Raw genomic sequence first — 19,555 nt, forward strand, 5'->3', positions numbered from 1 at the left:
AACAATAAAATATATTTGTAGAGATATTTAGATTTATATTGGGGGTTTTTGGTACTTAAATGTTTGGGGGAGGGATGAGATAATGCTCAAGATATTAGAAACCAGAAGGTGAATCTCAGTTCAGCAAAAAGTGAATCTTTTGGAGAAAATATGATAGCACTATGAGAAGTTGTTGTTGTTTTTTAAAGAGATGGGGTCTCACTATATTGTCCAGGCTGATCTTGAATTCCCGAACTCAAGCGATCCTCCTGCCTTAGCATCCCTAGTAACTGGGATTACAGGTGTGAGCAACCTCACTTGGCTGAAAAGTGTGTGTGTCTTTTTTTTTTTTTTTTTTTTTGAGTGTTTGCTGTGTTTCAGACAGTGTGCTGCATGTTTATAAACAGTTACATCATCAATAGCTTATTAATAGAGGTCAAAGTACTAGCTTAAGACTACATAGTTACTGAGTGTCAGAGCCATGGTTTGAACCTAGTTTGTCTCCAAAGCCTATGTTTTGGGCAGTATAGCAGCCAGGCTGCTTGGGTTCACCTGCATCTATACAATGGGGATAATAACAGTATCTATGTCCTCTCCATTGTGAAGATTAAATAAATTACAGTGCTTTGTTGACAAGGGCTGTCCCAAATCAATAGAAAGGGAAAGGGTGGGCGGAGTTAGTGGAAGGTTGAGGGAACCCATCACGGACTCAGACAGTGCCACTTAGGGTAAAGCCAGTGCCCGCAATAACAGTTTATCATGCTCATTAATTTGGGATTTCAAAACACAAATGAGAACTCACACCTACCCACCCCCAAGTGCATGTCTTCATCATGTAAAAAGTAAGTTTCCTTTGAAAATATCCTTTTGCCCCTATTTTTGTTTGTTTAGACAAATATCTAATTTATAAGAAGTGCATGGGAGGGGTTTTAGAAGTTTAACGAATTTTTAAATGAGAAAGGGTAGTTTGGTAGTCTACTTGAAAATGTTTCTGGGAAATTCCCTAAAAACATAGGATTTTGGTGACCTTAGCTTCTGTGTTCCTACTGCCACCCAGAAAAGGGGCAGGGCTCTGCAACCCCCGGGACAAATGGGCACCCCATGCCTATACCTCCCTCCCCGAGCTAAGTCCCAGGGCATCTGGGCCTTGCCTGGAGACTGGGCTAGCTCTGTAGGCTCGGAGAGCCTGGGGAGGGTGTTACCCCACCTCTTGTATTTTGGGAGACAGGGAAAGTGAACAGACTTCCCCTTCCCATACCCCTCAGGGTGGTTTCCCTACCAGTCAGGCTTACTGCTTCTAGAAGAGAGCAGAGAGTGTCAGGGAGTGAGACTGCATTTCTGGGCTTAGAAGTAAAGGATGTGAGACTTGTTCAGTATTTGCCATCAGCACAGGGAAAACCAGGAGAAAGCCTGGCTCCAGGACCTGGAGGCTTCTGCCCCGTACGATCAGAAGGTGGATAGATCTTCCCACTCTAGCATGGCTAGAACTCTTAAGAGTCTGTGGTGCTCCATCTCTATTGATGACCCCAGCTCAGTAACTATACCTGGTATATTTCCTATGTAAAATCTGTACCTTGAAGGCAGAGCATTCTGAATAAAGTTGGAAAAAGAATAGCTTTGCAAAGATTGATGATAGACTGGTTCCCCAAAGGCCTAGGCTACGCATCACCCCTTTTTCCAGAGCGAGGGCCTGGAATGAAGACAGTTCCTCCTCTGCCCCTGGAGCCTGAGATTTGCTTTGGCTCCTTGAGGTGGAAGAGGCTAAGAGTGCAGCTGCCCAGAGCAGCTCTGTGTACAGCCCGGCTCCTCTTGGGTTTCTGATGCCTTCCGTGGCACTGTGCCCTATCCCTCAGCCAGCCAGACGGCCTCCCAACTCCTGACCAGCAGGTAGGTTTTGGAGTGGTTGGTTGGTATGGTATTGTGATTAGAGCAGCTTATGGTGCCAAGGTGGCAAGCTAATTTTCACAGGCTCACTCCACCTCGGGCTCCCTGTGGGAATGGTAGGCCAGGCCCAGCAAGCCATGTCCCACCACATCCTCCTCTCAGGAGGAAGGGCCAGCTGTCGAGCCAGCAGCTAGTCCATAGCATGGCCTTATAACTGTATAAAGCCAGGCATTGCCCGTGAGCAGAGCTGGAACCAGAGCTTCAGTCAGTAAGAGGGAGGATTATCTTCAGGAGAAGACAAGGAAGAAAATTGGCTATCTTTATAGTTGCACTGTCATAACCAAGTGTCCACATTCAAAATGTATAGTGTCCATCCCTCATGTAATGGTGGTTTCTGGCCCAAAGTGAGACTGTCCTTTCAATTAGAGAAGGGTACAGAGATAGTCTAGGTGGGAAGGCCAGAAGTGCTGGCTGCTTAGCCACTGGGACCACCTGTTCTTGCCCCACTGCCATCTAGTAGGGCCAAAGTAAAGGCTGGCTGTGGGTGTCTGTGGATTGAGAATGTGGCAGGGACTGGTGCTCCTACCTCCCTCTGGCCGAAGATGGGGTCTACCCTCTGTGTGCATGTCACCACCAGCAGTCATAGCTTCCCAAATGGAGATGTGGCAGGAAAAAGTTTAAAAAAGAAAACGGGCAACTGTATTGTGTTGGGGAGAAATTGATGGGAGATGAGAAAACAGTTTGGATTTTGTGTATGGGAGTATAGTTGTCTGTAACTTTGCTTATATGCTTTTTTTTCCTTTTGTATTTTAAAGTAAGTGAAAGGCTTTGGCTTGGAAAACCCTAGAGAGATTGGAGGGGCGGGGCAGAAACCTGAGGCTGCTGCCCCTTTATCTGCCTTCACGGTACTGTCCCCTTCCCCCAGCTCCTCCCTGGCCCCATGGGCCAGGCCTCAGACCTTCCAGCTAACCGCTTCCCAAGAGCCACTTCTCTGATGTTAGCCTATAACCAAAGGAGCTGGGGGATCCAGGTCCAGTGACCAGCCCTTCTCAGCCCACTCGATCAGGGTGCTCCCCACCTGCAGGCAGGAGGCAACACCCTATATGCTACCATCAGACCCTTCCAGAGCCCACCTGCTGCCCAGCCCTGCCCTGCCCAGCCAAGCCATACCCTGCTCTGCCCCATCTGGGGGTGCCCTGCTCAGAGATGGGCCAGCAGGGCTATACTCAGCCTCCCTAGTAAACAGAGACTAAAGAAACCTCTGGGGTCCTGTTTTCTGGTCGTGTGATCCCAGGGGTGCACACAGGCCCCTTGGGTGTCTGAACAGAAGGGCATGGGAGAGAGGGCCACACCCCTGCAGTCTTGCTCTGCTGGTGTAGCGGGCAGCTGCCCACTGCCACCCAACCCTGTACCGAGGGCTCCTGAGTCAGCAGATTAAGTATTTTGTAAATTGTATTTAAAATACATGTTTTAAACTTGTTAAAAAAAAAAAAAAGACGGTGCTTAGAACAGTGCCTGAACCACAGTAAGCATCTTACAAATGTTTGCTTTTATTATAATTTAGGTAATTTCTATACCATTTTGGCTTGCTTTTCTGCTCCTTTACACTCTCCTTTTGACCTTGGTAAGTGGTGGCATCTAGGATATTTTTGTTTCCTAGCTCACTTGTCTGTGTGGCAAACATGACCCTCGCCTTTCCATCTGGAGCAGATGGGGGAAAAAGCCATGGTAATAGGCATGTCCTTAGCAGAGTGCTGTAGGGACCGTTGCTGTAAACAGGCTTGGGGTATATGTGTTCACTAGGAGACAGAAGGGGGCAGGGATATGAGGCCTGAATGCAGGGACCTAAAACCAGAAACCTGTGTGTCTTCAAAGATGCATGCACATTCAAAGAGTCAGTGTTCACCTTTGGCTTTACAAGAATGGGCTCTACTGTAATTGTGTAGTGCAGTGATTCCTAAACCTGGCTGGTTCACCTAGGCCCTTGTGACTCAAATTCCCTTAAGACCTACCGAATTTAGTGTTGGGGTCCAAGCATCTATTTTTATTTATATTTTTATTCTTTATTTATTTAAGACAGAGTCTTGCTTTGTCTCCCAGGCTGGAGTACATTGGCACAATCTCAGCTCACTGCAACCTCCACCACCTGGGTTCAAGTGATTCTCCTGCTTCATCTTCCTGAGTAGCTGGGACTACAGGCACCCACCATATGTCCAGCTAATTTTTGTATTTTTAGTAGGGATGGGGTTTCACCATGTTGGTTCAAGACCGCCAGGCTGGTCTTGAACTCCTGGCCTCAAGTGATCTGCCGGCCTTGGCCTCCCAAAGTGCTGGGATTACAGGCATGAGCCACCATACCTGGCCTATTTTTTTTTTTTTAAATAACAATTTTTGAATGGTTAGCCATGTTTGGGAGTCACTGGTATGCTGTTTGTTCCTGTGTCTCCACAGGGCCTGCCCCCACCAGCCATGTTGTATGTGACTTTAAAAACTCTTAGAAGATCCCTCATTATCTAGTAAACTCTGTTTTTGGCAGTTACTGTAAAGATAAACTTGGAATACAAATATACAAGCAGATGAGTGAAAGGGTTCCATTAGAGAAATAACAAAGGAAGAGTATTTGATCAAAGTAATTTGTCAGTGTATTTTGTTTGGTTCTTATACTTATGTTGATTTCCTTGTCAACATTTGCTTATTTTCATACTGATACTTGCAAGTTAGATACACAAAAAGTAATAGCTATTGAACGTAATTTTGATGCTTAATTTACATGCCAATTTATAGAATTGTTAGAGGGCTCTTTTCCCAGAGTAACACTCAAAAAATGAATGAAGTAAGTAATTCACATTCCATTTTATATTTGAGAATTCATGATTAGAATGGAATGTTAATATGGTTAGCTGTAGTCAGACAATATTGACATTGTTGCTAAGATATTTTACGAGACATGTCATTGAGACTGCTGTTTGGAAAACTGAGCAGTGAATTTTTTTTTTTTTGGTGCTGATGGTGGAATAGGGATAAAGTAAACAAAATATACAAGATGCATACAAATAAGATATAGAAAAATGCAGTCATCAGCTGGGCATGGTGGCTTACGCCTGTAATCCAAATGCTTTGGGAGGCCGAGGCGGGCGGATCATGAGGTCAGGAGTTCGAGACCATCCTGGCCAACATGGCGAAACCCCCTCTCCACTAAAAATACAAAAATTAGCCGGGGGTGGTGGTGAATGCCTGTAATCCCAGCTACTCAGAAGGCTGAGGCAGGGGAATGGCTTGAACCTGGGAGGTGGAGGGTGCAGTGAGCCGAGATCGTGCCACTGCACTCCAGCCTGGGTGACAGAGCAAGACTCCATCTCAAAAAAAAAAAAAAATTCGGTCATTTCATTTTCTTCGTCACTCCTAGCTCCCCCCCCAATACAGGCCTGGGAAAGACCTTGTTATATAGCCACATGTACACGGCAGATTTAGTCTGCTTTTTTCTAGAATGTGAGCTAAGTTGGTAGTATTTTTGAACATGTTTTTGTGGGGAAGAAACTTTAAATACTGCCTAGAAACATTGAGGCATTTTTTCCCCCAAAATGATCCCGTTTTCCTTGTAAGGAGTTGAAGTAAGATAAATGGTAGCAGCTCCCTTTTATTCTCTCCCTTCTCTTGTAAGGAGGCCTTTTGGCAGACAGCTTTGCTGACGGGACTGCCAGAGTTTGGATTTGAGTAGTTAGTGAGGGGGTGGTGTACTGCTTAGAGTATTGTTCTAAAAGTCTTTTTCCCTTCCACTTATTTTTCCACCCCCAAAATGTCAGCATGTCCAACATGACAGAATGTTCCTGACAATTATCACTCAGGGAAACATGACTTGCTAAATTATCTGGGGCTAAGTCAGACTTTCTTTAGCACCAAGCAATGCTCCATGCTCAGTATACACCTTGGTTAGGGAATATGCTATCTGGGACAGTCCAGTGTGGTACTGTGGTTAAGAGTTCTGACTCCGGAGTCAAACTGGCTGGGTTCAATTCCGGATCTGCCACTTTCAGGGTAGGGGATCCTAGGCAACTTAGCCCTCCTCCAAGCCTTGATTTCCTCATCTGCAGCAAGGGGGCAATGACAGTGTCATTTTAAATGGAATGGGGTGAATAATTAGTGTATTCAAGTTAATGTATTGCTGTGGTTTGTTCTCACCAAAACCTCATGAATGGCTTGGTGCTGTTCTCCTGCAACAAGTCAGAGTTCTTGCTCTGGGAAGACTGGGTGAGTCCTCATGGGAATGGATTAGTTCCAGAGAGAGTGGGTTGTAACAAAGCCAGGATACTTCTCAGCTTTTCCCCTTTGCTTGTGTCCACTTCCCGTTTGACTGTCTCTGCCGTGTTGTGATGCATGGGGAAGCCATGGCCTTGCCCTTGAACTTCTCAGCCTGCAGAACGATGAGCTAAAGAACTCTCTTTTCTTTATTAATTGCCTAGTCTCAGGTATTCTTTTATAGCAACTCAAAATGGACTTGATATATAGATGTAAAGTGCTTAGCAAGATGTCTGGCACACAAAGGAAGGGCTTAAGAACTGCCAGCTTGATCATCATTATTAGGGCCGATATACACAATGGGCATTGTGTTAGTCCATTTTGCATTGCTATAAAGGAATACCTGAGGCTGGGTAATTTATAAAGAAAGGGGGGTTATTTTGTCTCACAGTTCTGCAGGCTGTAGTGCCAGCATCTGCTTTGGTGAGGCCTCAGGAAGCCTTTATTCCTGGTAGAAAGCCAAGGGGAGCAGGCATGTCACATGGCAAGGGAGGAGGTGCCAGGCTCTTTTTAATAATCAGATCTCTAGTGAACTAATAGAGTGAGAACTCACTCATTACTGCTGGGAGGGCACCGAGCCATTCATGAAGGATCCACCCCCGTGACCCAACACCTCTCACTAGGCCCCACCTAGTGCGGATTACATTTCCACATGAAATTTCAAAGGGGCAGATGTTCAAACTCTATCAGGCATACACACATAGGTGAAACAGTACTCAATGTAAATCCTGTCATGTTACTCAGGAATGAAACAGTATGTGAAGTTCGAGGATAAGTGGCCTCTGGCAGTAATCTCAGGGCTTGGTGAGTAATTGGGATGGAGAATGGCTTTAGCAGTGGGGTATCCTGTGGTTAGTTGTTGTCCCTGGGTTGGCCTCATTGCACAGCTCCGGGGGCACTATTAACATAGACGTGACAGGTGCAGCATGGTGGTCCACTACTGTTGTCATTTCTCATGTCACCTTCAAGAAAGTGCTGTGAAAAAAATGTGGAGTTCTCTGTTATTATAAATTAAGAGGGTGTATTTGGATTTTTTTTTTTTGAGAAAGTTTAATGTTAAAGCATTAACTGGTTGAGATTGCAGATAGCTGGGGCAGTGAGGCTCCTTTTAAGTGCTTTGAAGCACCTAGGGTGAGGCACTAGATCTTGGACCCTGCAGTGTCTGTAGGGTGAAGCTGATCCAGAACTTCATTGTGAGAACAATCAATAGGAAAGACCATCTGACATTAGAGAGATCTGGGATATGGTCAGTTGGAGCTACATGGACAAGGGCAAGTGTGTGGCAGGCAGACTGAGCAACAACAGTGGGCATAGCTCGAGGTGCCTGAATAGGGGAAAAGTGAGACCTTCCTGGAAGAGGACTCATGACAGCAGGAGCCTCAAGAACTTGGCAGGTGTCCAATGTGGCAGCTTGCAGGGGAACCTCTGGAAATAAAGGGAGATGGATACAAATTTGAGTTTCAAATAAATGTTCACTGGAAAATAAAGTATATTTTATTTTATAAAACATGTCAGAATATATGTCAAACTGAAAATGTAAAAGGAAGGGGAAAAAACCGTTCATACTTCCACTCCCTTCAAAATAACCACCATCATCTTACTGACTGCCTTCGAACTTTTGGGTCATGTATCTTACTTATTTTTCCATTATAAAAGATTGTGTATACTAGCTTAAATGTTTTTTCTACATGTTTTTGAAAATGTTCATATGGTAAACTGATTTTTTTTTTTTAATTTGAGTTCCTTGGCAATGAAAACAGTCATTGTGGTGTTCCGTGCTACTCTGCTTGTTTAGAGGGGTGGGTGGGGGTAAAGAGAGCTTTCCTTGCCCAGCATCCCAATCGTGAAAAATGTAAGCTATTGTTAGCGAGTTCTGGCAGGCAGCATCAGTTATTGCTTTAAGGGTCTCCAGATAAAGTAAGAGATTCTTTCTGCACTGTGGGGTGAAGGATGTGGTTCAAAAAGCCCGTTCCTGAAAGAGAAGGCTGTGGAAGAGGGGCAGTTGAGTGAAGTGCTGGAAGGCCAGGATTGGTTTATACAGTTTCTTATATTTTTTAAAAACCATAATGTCCCCACTGTTGAGTAGTGGATTCTGTTTTTTCTCTGAAGGAACTTGTTTCTTTCAGAAGGATAAATGGGTTGTACATTTTCTGAGCTTTTGAGTATCTGAGAATGTTTTCTGGTTGATATCATGTATAATAGCCTGGTGCAGTTTTAGAAGATTTGGCCGTGCTTTTTTTCTCCCTCAAGTTTTGTAGATGTTGCTTTTTTTGTTTTTCCGTTTTTTTTTTTTTTTGTCGTTGTTTGTTGTTTGTTTGTTTTGTTTTTGTTTTTTTTTTGACACAGGGTCTCCTTTTGTTGCCCAGGCTGCTGTACAGTGGCACAATCACAGTTCACTTCAGCCTCAACCTCCTGGGCTCAAGTGGTCCTCCTACCTTTGCCTCCCACAGGGTTGGGATTACAGGTGTGAGCCACCACACCTGGCCAATGTTGCTTTTTTGATTTCAGGCTTTCGGTGTTGGACGGGAGGGGACAAGGGTTGTGGGTGAAATTGTGTTCACCAAAAAGGTACATTGAAGTCTCAACCCTTGATACCTGTTAAAGTGATCCTGTTTGGAAATTTGCTCGTTGCAGATGTCAGGAAGTTCAGATGAAGTCACGCTAGGTTAGGGTGGGTCCTAATCTAGTATGACTGTTGTCCTTAGGAGACACAGACACAGAGGGAGAATGTGATGTGATGACGTAGGCAGAGATTTGAGGCATGAATCTATAATCCAAGGAATATCAAGGATTGCTGACCACACCAGAAAGGAAGAGAAAGGCATGAACTAGATTCTCCCCGAGAGCCTTCAGAGAGATCATGGCCTTGCCTGATACCTTGATGTTGGACTTGGAGCCTCCAGAAATGTGAGAAAGTAAACTTCTGTTGTTTAGGCCACCCTATTTATGGAACTTTGTTACAGCAGCCCCAGGAAACTAACACAAGGGTTCTGAGTGCAGTCGGGCTCTGGTGCCTTTCAGAGGCTCCGAGGTTTTGTTTGTATCCTAGTAAAACACCTTTTTAATGCTTACCTGGAAACCTGTGATAATTTTTCTTAGGTTTTTAGAAAAATTACTTTATCTTGTCCTTATTTCTTCTCAGAAAGGTTTTTGTTTCCCATATCTATAATATTTTCTCACATTGTTAAAATTTTAGCTCCTTCCCTCTGCTTCTTGGGGAAACCTTCCCGAGCTTATTCTCTTTATCATGGACTAAGTTTTCTATAGTATCAGTTTTCCTTGACTACCTGAAATGTGGATCATGCTTTTTAAATTTCCTGCTTTTCTTTCCTTATCTTTAATAGTCTATAGTATAGATATATAGTATAGAATGCCTTAGTCTGTAGTATAGCTCAAGCTTGTCCAACCCACGGCCTGTGGGTCACATGAGGCCCAGGACGGCTTTGAATGCGGCCCAACAAAAATTTGTAAACTTTCTTAAAACATTATGAGACTTTTTTTGTGACTTTTTTAAAAAACTCATCGGCTATCATTAGTGTATTTTACGTGTGGCCCAAGACAATTCTTCTTCCAATGTGGCCCAAGGAAGCCAAAAGATTAGACACCCCCGGTATGGATTGTCATCAGGAAAGAAACACTCTATGAAGGGTCTGGAGGCCAGGCCATCTTATATTCTATTGATGGTACCAAGCGGTTCACAGAATTTTGTTCTCAGTCGTCTTTGAGTGTTCAAGCAGATGTTCTCTTTCCTTTCACTAATAAGCTATGTTTTCTCAGTCCTGTCATTGATTATTTTGGGTGGTGGTTGGGGGAGGCTTATCAAAAGAGAAAAGATGCAATCAGCCAGGTTTTACTGATCTGGAGCTGTTGTTCCTGCTGGTGGGCACAGGGTGGAGATACAGAGGCCGACTCCAGGGTCAGGGGTTTGCTATCCTCCCCCTTCCACAGTGGGCTGGGCTCTGATGTTTTATAGACTGGAGTGTGGTTAGGCCACCAATTGTTTATTGCAACAACAAAGGATCCCCTTTTGTCATCTTTAAAATTACTGGAAATTCTTTCCTTTTCTGGCAGTCTCTTCCTTTTAGTATGGTTTTTTTGCACTTGTGAGTTTTCTTACTTTGTAGTTAGATATTTTACTAGGGTATTGGGAGAGGCCTTGCCAGGACTGCTAGCCAGATGCAGTTTTAAAAAGAAACAGGAATTCATGCATTTATCGCCTGCACCCCACCTCCACCCCTCCCTGCTCCTTGAGCGGCTGTTCCCCCTCTTCTCTTTACTTCTCAATTCCTTGGTCCTGTCCTGCCTCATTTCCTTCCTTTTTAGCATCTGTTTTCTTCCCTGTCCTCCCATTACACTCCAACCCTCATGTCTCTCTTTCCCTCTTTCCTCCCTGGCAGACTGGATGTTTTCCTAGTGCTTTGGATTATCCATGTCCCATGTGAGCAGGCATCTGCAAGTGTGCCCACACCCAACCACCAACAGCAGAGATGACCAGGACCTGGAAGAGAAACAGAAGGGTGGGAAGAGAAGAAATGCCAGCTGACCCAGAGCCCATCAATGACAGGACTGTGGCAGGCTCAGCACTGCTGGCATCCAACCTTCAGAGCAGGGCACTGGCACTCTTCTTCCTGTTATGCCCGTGTCCACTGTAGTCAGCTGCAAACAAGCTTGCCTCCGAGCAGTGCCTACACACATGTCACTTCGAGCACATGCTTTGTGGAATAGAGCTTCATTTCACCCACTTGCCAAGTTAGGCCTTAGTAGGTGGCCCATTTATCCTAAAGATCTTAAAATTGACACATGGCTCAATCCTTGGGAATGTACATTTAAATATTTACAGGAAATGTGCACATAGGAAAAAATATAAACCATCTAAACGTGTGTATCTTAACACCCATGCTTCAGTTGATCAGTTCCCATTCCCAGAGGCAGCCACTGCTACTGGTTCGATGTGTATCCTTCTCGAGACCCTCCATGCATGTACAAGTGTCCATGTTTGTATAGATGTAAACATAATGTGTGTGCCTACATACATATGTAGATACACATATATATACACATATACCCTCAAGGAATGTACATTTGGAATGGAAACTTTTATTTTAATCATCTGCATTACTTAGTACAGTAGGCCTTGTAGTTCCTTTTCTCCCGACCTCTTTGTCTTGGGAAGTGGCATAAGCATTCCAGATCTTTTTGACCACCTTCTTGCTTCTGTGGCTCTCGGTCCTGGCTGCACAGTAAAATCACTTGGTGAGCTTTAAGGACCATCACCTGTGCCATTTTCCCAACCAGTTAAAACAGCCTCGCTCGGCAGGGATCGGGGGTCCCTCTGTGTGGAGGGTGTTGGAAACTGAATCAGGTGTAGCATCAGTAGGCCTGGCAGAGCCACGGAATTCAAGCTGCAGTGTGTTCCACAGGACTGGTAGACCTGGACAAGTCTGTGCTGGCAAGGAAATGTAGAATCCCAAATTCCATGCAGATTGACGGTGAATCCTGCCAGGTTGCCTTCCACCACAGCTAGCTCGTGACTTCACCCTTCATTGGGCCAGGCAGAATGACCGGAGCCAGCGCCACTGTGCTGCAGAAGCAGCAGGCCCAAATGCTGCAAGAGTTAATAAATGTCCAGTACCCACGGAGAGGAGAGGAAACTAGGGTGCTTGATGACTAAACACCTATCCTGGATCCACTTCGCTTGTATGGTGACAGCATGAGGTGTGACTGAGAGAAGATTAATGATCACTGGGCCTGGGTACCTCCCAAAAGGAGTGCTGCAGGAGTGCTGTGGAGCTAATTAACCAGCCGGCATGAAAAGTGAAAATAGACGAGGGAACAGGGTGTTTTTTTGTTTTTTTTTTCTTCCCCTCTGTGGTGGCCCAGTACTGTGCGTAGACCTACATATACTATTTTTGGTTTTCCTTCTTAAGTATGCAAAATGACATAATGTTGAAAGCCTTTCTCAGTAGCCTTCTCCAAGGGGAGCAATACTGAGACAGTGGACTCTGGATCCCGCTGCCTGGGTTCAGACTCAGCTCTGATATATGCCAGAGTGGCCTTGGGCAAGATACTTGATCCTTTCTGTGCCTCAGTTTCTTCATCTGAAAAGGGGGCTAATAGCAATGCCTAATTTGTGGCGTGGCTGTGAAGATTAAGTTTAAATAATATATGTATAATGCACCCAGAACCCTGTCCTGGCACCTAATACATCTAAAAAATAAAAAGAGCATTTATTTTAAATTGCACCCCTCTGGGAGTTTGGGGGTGGGAGTTTTTCTGAGGTCATTTATTTTTAAAGCACAGAAACTCTTGCATGCTGATATGTCTTAAAAGGAAAACTTTGACAATTAGAGAGGAAATGCCAGTCTGTTTACTCATCTGTTTCAGGATAAGGCACATTTGTACGTTTGGTTCTATAACCATTGAGTATTAAGAATAAAACCATGCGGACAGTATTTACTGATCTCTGTTTAGATCCCACTGGGTGGATTTTTGAAGACAAGGATATGCTGTCCTGTTGGCTAGGTTTCTTGTACCCTAGGGGTTAGCTGCTTTCTTGCCTCTTAGTGGTATTGTTTGAGAATTAATCATGATTGTCTGAATAAAGTTTTTGAAAATTGTTTTCTTGGATGCATTTATTTTCAAAATGTTCTGCCTGAATGTTAGGAGATTCTATAAGACATAAAATGGCTTCAAGTGCTTTTAGTTGTAGTCTTCTGAAGGGTCCAAAAATGATACTGGATCTTGTGGAAGAAATCTTTCAGTTTTCTGTAAATATAGGGGGGGGTGTGTGTGTGTATGTATGTAGAGTTATGTGGTTATACAACCTTTAAGAAACATTAGTGCACTGTAAGGCGGGGACTGCACAAAAGGTGCCCTAACACATTTAATGCCCTAGTTAAATGCATTGCACAAGTTCCGTTTTCTGGAGCTGGATAAACAGAACATCTTTCTTTTTCTATTCTAAGCTTCTATCGCCCCACCCCACCTCAGCCACTTCAGTGGCACAATAAATGGAAATCTTATTTCCTGCCTCTGCAGACCTATTTACCTGAGTGTCTAAGTGCACCCTTGCCTTTCTCAGGCCTTCCCTTCCTGAAATATGCTTTTACTTTCATCTCCTTGCCTTCGTTGCCCTCATTTTTTAAAGCTGTCTCTAATGCTGCACTCTATGTACTTTAATCTGTGATGTTGGATGTTGCCATTCTGCATAGCTGCCTTTAAACATTCATCTCCCAGATTGACATTTTCTTCCATTATGAATTGAAATCCCTTTTCACAGCCTGTAATGGTAAAAACATTTTAAAATAAAGAACTGTTATCAAAAGCCATTTCTGCCAATTTAAAACGCCTTATTGGATGGCTTTATTCCCTTTGATAATTTTGTTATCTTTGCAAACTATGACTTTGACTTACTTGTATGCGTATATATTTTTATTTATTACGAACAGAGAGGTTCTTATAGATGTCTGTGTGTCCCCTTGCCCTTTCTGGACTTTTATTTTTGGACTTAAGGGAATTGATGATTTTAAAAGAAGCAAAGGAGTGTGTGTGTATGAGTGACAGAGGCTATATGTAACCTGCAAAGTCTGAAATATTTACTGTCATACCCTTTGTAGCAAAGTGTGCTGACGCCTTATGTATTTAAAATACTCACTAAAAATGTGTCGTTTTGGGGATCTCTATCTTTTTCCCCAAATTAAAGCTCTTAAACGTGTGAAGTGGTGAGAATGTTAGAGCCTGAGCTGACCGGTTGTGGGGAGGTTCTAGCTGTGATCCCTGTTCCTCAGGGTTACCTTCCAGGCCCCAGTCTCCCATCTGAGACAGTGTGATTGCATTTGATGCTGTGCGATGGAAAGCATTTTGGGGTAGGTGGGACTGTCTGTGGTGTGTAAATGTTCCAATGGAAACACCTGCCAGTGAAGCTGGAGGAGGTAAATTACTAGTCATTGATAACATAGTTTTCATACCCTGGAGAGGTTGCATCGTCCTACCTGGCATTTCTGCCTGCAGTAACAGGAAGGGTGATTGAAATGTGCTTCCCATCACTTAATCAAGGTGGGGAATAAAATAGGTCATAGTTAAAAGAAAACAGTATCTATTCAAGGGTTAAGAAATATGCCAGCTGTGCTGGTTGTTGCAGTGAAACATCTTTAATTCCTCTTAAATGTCTTTAAGCTTCTGCTGAGGAATGTTACATCTACTGGAGAATCTCTGGTGTCTTGTTGCCCAGAACCAATATTGTATTGTTCACGTGGATGCCCCTAAGAGATTTTCACTTTCTGCCCGTGGCATCATCGTGATGCTTTCTTTGTTTGACCGTATTCCCCTTGCCCTTGTGCAGTTAAAGCTCCTGGCTCCAGAGTGCTAGATCCACCCAGCTTTGTGCTTCCTGTTCATACATAAAACTTCTCTCCCTACTTTGTGCCTTTCTAATGAAAGGATACTGGAAGTTAGAGATCTTTTATTGCCTCTGAAAAACAAACCAAACAGAACAACATGTTTGAGAGTGATTATAGTGAGATGGTAAAGTAAACTTGAAATGGAAACCCCCCTCCCCCTCCCTCTTCTCTTAAGCCTCGTTTTATTGCAGCCTGCATAAAATCATAGTGCTGGAGCCCAGCTGCTCCAAAGGCTGAAGGTCCTCATGCTTACAGCATGCTTTGGAAACTCATCTGCACCACATTTGCAATTAATGAAAATATTTGCTTTGCTTGTTATAAACAAAGTTTATGGGCAGAATTTATAATTAGGAAACTTTTTAATTCTTTTTCCCTTCAATGCCTAATTTCTCTTGTGTCATGTTGGAGAATTATAAGTATTTAAGAAAATAAACCTTTTCTCAATGCTGTTTATTTCTGGTGGTGGTACATGTATTTCTCCCTTCTTTTGTGTCCTCATGCAAATTAAAGGACTTGAAATCTGGGTTTTTATTTGTTTTTGTATAGGTCAGTAATACTCATGTGTGAGTAGGGGAGACAGTGCCTTTGTGGCCTGTCAGGCCATCCCACAGCCATTTGACTAGCTGGGTCTGTGATTTAGCCTATGTGAGAACAGCCACAGGGCAATGTAGCTCTCTTCAAACCACATGGAAAACCAGTGTCACCTCTTCAAGGTCCCCCACACGTCTTTTGTATGTAATGTTCTGGGGCTGTGGCCTCAGTGCTTTCCAAGTTCTGATCTGTCTCTTGGTGATTCTTGCCTGTACACCCATGAATTAGGTGACGTGATGTGGTTCTTGTAGGCACAGCACCTGCTTGCATTCTCAGTGTGAGAGTGAGGTGGTGATGAGAAAACAACCATCCCTCAGCTTTTACAAGTTTGTCGGGTCAGAGGGCATCCGGCTCCACTGCGCGCTGGCATCATGGTGCAGCCTAGCTCTGCCTTAAGATCTGTTTCCTCGCCAGACAGTTGAAGGGAAAGCAGCTGGGAAAACTCGTGACCTGGCCGAAAGCCTCGAGGTGGTTTCTCAAAGATTCCAGACTCATGCACAGTGCTATAAGACTGGCCCCTGTGGTTCTGGGGATTGGTGACAATGGTATCTTACAGTGCTAGCTAGCAAAAGAGGGTGGATGAAGCTTGTGTGTGTGTGGGGGGGGGGTGGGGGCCAGCCTGGGGGCCACTGCTGTCCACACAGCCTCTAGGAGGAAAGGCCTCTAACTCCTGTCTGCTTCTCTCCCTTGAGGACAGAACTTTGTCCTGGGCATTTGCATGAATGTCCTTATTTTTGTAACGCCAGTGAGAGGTGTTTTTTTATTGTTTGTTTTTTGTTTTTTTTTTGAGATGGAGTCTCGCACTGTTGCCCGAGCTAGAGTGCAGTGGTGTGATCTCGGCTCACTGCAACCTCTGCTTCCTGGGTTCAAGTGATACTCCTGCCTCAGCCTCCCAAGTAGCTGGGATTACCGGTGCCCACCACCATGCCCAGCTATTTTTTTTGTATTTTTAGTAGAGACAGGGTTTCACCGTGTTGGCCAGGCTGGTCTCGAACTCCTGACCTCGTGATTCGCTTGCTTCGGCCTCCCAAAATGTTGGGATTATGGGCATGAGCCACTGCACCCAGCCCTAGTGAGTTTTCTGATCTGTCTTGTTTCTTCAAATGCCAGTCATTTGGGCAGTGAGTGATAAATCTTTAGTTTCCCAGGTTTATAAAAACCGTCCATGCATAGGTAACCCAGGAGAGACTAAAATTATCTGACTTTGCTGACATGCCCATTGTGGGGCTTTTCTGTTCACTGCTCTGCTGTGAGTTCCCTTTAAAAGTAAGGCATGTGCTGGCCAGGCGCTGTGGCTCATGCCTGTAATCCCAGCACTTTGGGGGCCAAGGCAGGTAGATCACGAGGTCAGAAGTTCAAGACCAGCCTGACCAACATGGTGAAACCCTGTCTCTACTAAAAATACAAAGATTAGCCGGGTGTGGTGGCGGGCGCCTGTAATCCCAGCTACTCAGGAGGCTGAAGCAGGAGAATCGCTTGAACCCAGGAGGTGGACGTTGCAGTGAGTCGAGATCGTGCCACTGCACTCCAGCCTGGGCAACACAGCAAGACTGTCTCAAAAAAAAAAAAAAAAAAAAAAAGTAAGGCATGTACCTGTCCTATATGTCTCATATAAGGCATATGTCCTATATGGAGGGGGTGACTCTACTTCCTCTTGACTCCTAACACAAAAAACAAGCACAGTGATACCACTTGAAACTTGATGGTCTGGTTTGTATCCCCTTTGAGCCTTGTACACAAAAATCTGCAGAATTTAGTTCCTGCCTAGCTAGGCAGCTTTCATTGTTTCTTTTTTTAAAATCTGGTCTTTGATTGTGTGTGTGTATGTGTGGTTTTTTTGGTTTGTTTTTGGAGCCAGGAAGGCGTGGCAAGGACTGGTTGGATAGCTTTTGTCATAGAGACTGGTGTGCTTGTGGGAAAGTTTATACATCTTTCAAATTCTGCTCTCTGTGACTTAGAGTTTGAAGATGCTTTTTAAGAAGCAGGTAATGATTTACATTCTTTCCCTGCACATCCTCAGTTCCATCTTAGTACATACTAACGAGCGGGGAAGGTGATTGGTGGGAAGAAGCAGTCAGAGGAAAATGTGTTATCTGAATACATGAGGACTGGCTGTATTTTTTTTTTTTTTTTTTGGGAGACTAGTTCCAGCCAAGATACTCTTTCTTGTATATATTTTTTAACATTGTGATTACATCCTTTCTGCTTCTTAAGGTTCTGTCTACCCTAGAATGTTGTTAGAAATGCTTGTTCCCTGGTGCCACAAAGAAATAGCACTCAAACATAAATTTAATTATCTCAGCAAGGCAGTTTTTACTTTCTGCAGAAAGGGTGCTCATCACAGATGGAACAATGGCGAGAGCACACCTGGACAGGGGAGGGGCAGGAGTTCTTATTCCTGACGCAGGTAGCCCCTGCTGCTGTGTTGTTCCCCTATTGGCTAGGGTTGGACCACACAGTCTAAGCTAGTTCTGACTGACTGTTTTAAAGAGGGCAGGGGCATGAGCCAGAATGGCGGGGTTTGGTGGGAAGGACGGTGAGGAACAGGTAACTAAAGGTGACTTAGGTCAGAGCAGGTGACCGGGATGAGTCAGGACAGAGCAGGTAACCAGGGAACAGACGTGAACTACTAATTAGGATTGGCGGGAAAGTTGTTGACTGAAACTAGAAGCGAGAAGCCAAAGAGAACCAGGAAGTTAAACTTTAAAATGGAGAATCAAAGAATAAGAGCTGAACATACTGACATACTGGTTTTTTTGAGGAGAAACTTGGGGTTTACCATATTTAACAATGTTTAATTTCCTAATAGTAAGCTTGTTTGTTCCCAAGCTTGTTTAGGGGTGGAGTGTCAAGCGGAAGCTGCCTAATAAGTGAGCAATGTTTCCAGTCCCATGACTGGTTTGGGGCTGTTTGAGTTTTAGGAGGGTGGCCCTGTGTCATGGGGAGTGTTGAGTAGATGGGATGGGAGCCAAGGGATGGTGCTGGGGAGGAATGTGGATGTAGACTACACTCTCACTTAGTCTTTTCTTATTAGAGAGGAGCAGTGGAGGCCTGGGAGTTCTGGAAGGGTTGGTATCTGAATCTGTTTTACTGATACTCATGTAAGGCTAGTAAGCCCTCTCCTTTTCCTTTTCTGAGATCAAAGCTTCTTGTGGATCATTCATACTTGACCTTGATCTAATCCCAGATCAGTGGCTTCCTGGATCCTTTGTTAGGGATTGAAACCAGATCAGTTAGGGTAGTGCAGAAAGGCACATGGAGCAGAGTTCACTGATGCTTGAGTTTTCCCTCACAGGGTAAAAAGTTTCAAGAGTAGTGGGGGAAAAGTCATTTAAAAAAATTCAATACACACATCTGATATGTGGGAATTATATTCTGAGAATATAGTTTATAGGAGTTAAATTTGCATCAACTTATAATGAATGGATGGTTTAACCTAAGTATTCTCTCTCTACTCTAGGAAGTGACTTTGGTCCAGAGACTTCTCCAGTCCTGCACCTTGACCACAGTGCTGACTCTCCTGTGAGCAGTCTTCCCACAGCAGAGGACACCTATAGGGTGAGCTTGGCCAAAGGTGTCTCGATGTCTCTGCCTTCCTCACCTTTGCTGCCTCGACAGTCTCACTTGGTGCAATCAAGAGTGAACAAAAAATCCCCAGGTAAACAGGCAATGAAGGAGCTGCCTTGGTTATATATGTAGTACCTGCATTGAAAATAAGCAAAACTAGTGCCCATGAGAAATCTTCTGGGACAATGTTTTTTCTTTGTCGCAGTATCTTCTAGAAGAAATAAATCTTTTTTTTTTTTTAATTTAAGGAAAAAGTATGGTTTTAATAGATTCATCCTGTTTGGACTACCAGGCTAGATTTTTATAAAGATTAAAGATTTTGTTATCAGTACTGATGTTAACCAGCAATTTTGTTGTTTTCTTGCTGATGAATTAAGGAGCACTATACAGTTATGGCACCGACTAATGATGTTTCTTTTGATCAATGACAAACTGCATGTATGATGGTGGTCCCATGAGGTTATAATACTGTGTTTTTACTGTACCTTTTCTATGTTTAGATATGCAGATACTTGCCACTACATTAATAGTTGCCTACTGCATTCAGTATAGTAACGTGCTGTACAGGTTTGTAGCCTAGGAGCAATAGGCTATGCCATATAGCCTAGGTATATAGTAGGCTATGCCACCTTGATTTGTGAAGTACACTTGAGGATGTTCGCACAATGACAAAATCACCTAATGACGCCTGTCTCAGAATGTATCCTCATCATTAAGTGACACATGACTGTAATCCAAACTCATACGTGGTGTGTTTAAAGGTTATGGATGTAGGCAAATGTCATCTGACAATAGTCTATTTATTACTACCTAGTATATACTGATGTATTTCATTTGAT

General features: G+C 43.9%; 1 protein-coding gene across 38 annotated transcripts in view, besides 1 other annotated feature; it reads left to right on the forward strand.

Moving 5' to 3' along the window:
- TANC1 (tetratricopeptide repeat, ankyrin repeat and coiled-coil containing 1) overlaps positions 1-19,555 on the forward strand; it is a 264,020-nt gene that overhangs the window by 110,388 nt on the left and 134,077 nt on the right. For 36 of the 38 annotated variants that reach the window (NM_001350065.2, XM_047446107.1, XM_047446108.1 and 33 more), the window contains one exon: positions 18,610-18,807. In NM_001350065.2, coding sequence (NP_001336994.1) covers positions 18,610-18,807 — 198 coding nt within the window. Of the gene's footprint in view, positions 1-10,556; positions 12,777-18,609; positions 18,808-19,555 lie in introns of those variants that run through there. The other 2 variants (XM_017005143.3, NR_146421.2) reach the window with 2 other exon arrangements.
- Positions 11,813-12,092: an enhancer, noted in NCBI's record as "active region_16682". NCBI's record gives its function as "activates an Ori minimal core promoter by ATAC-STARR-seq in GM12878 lymphoblastoid cells {active_cell/tissue: GM12878}" and the evidence as "EXISTENCE:reporter gene assay evidence [ECO:0000049][PMID:35858748]".

This window comes from Homo sapiens, chromosome 2, assembly GCF_000001405.40.
Source record: "Homo sapiens chromosome 2, GRCh38.p14 Primary Assembly".
NCBI classification, from domain to species: domain Eukaryota; kingdom Metazoa; phylum Chordata; class Mammalia; order Primates; family Hominidae; genus Homo; species Homo sapiens.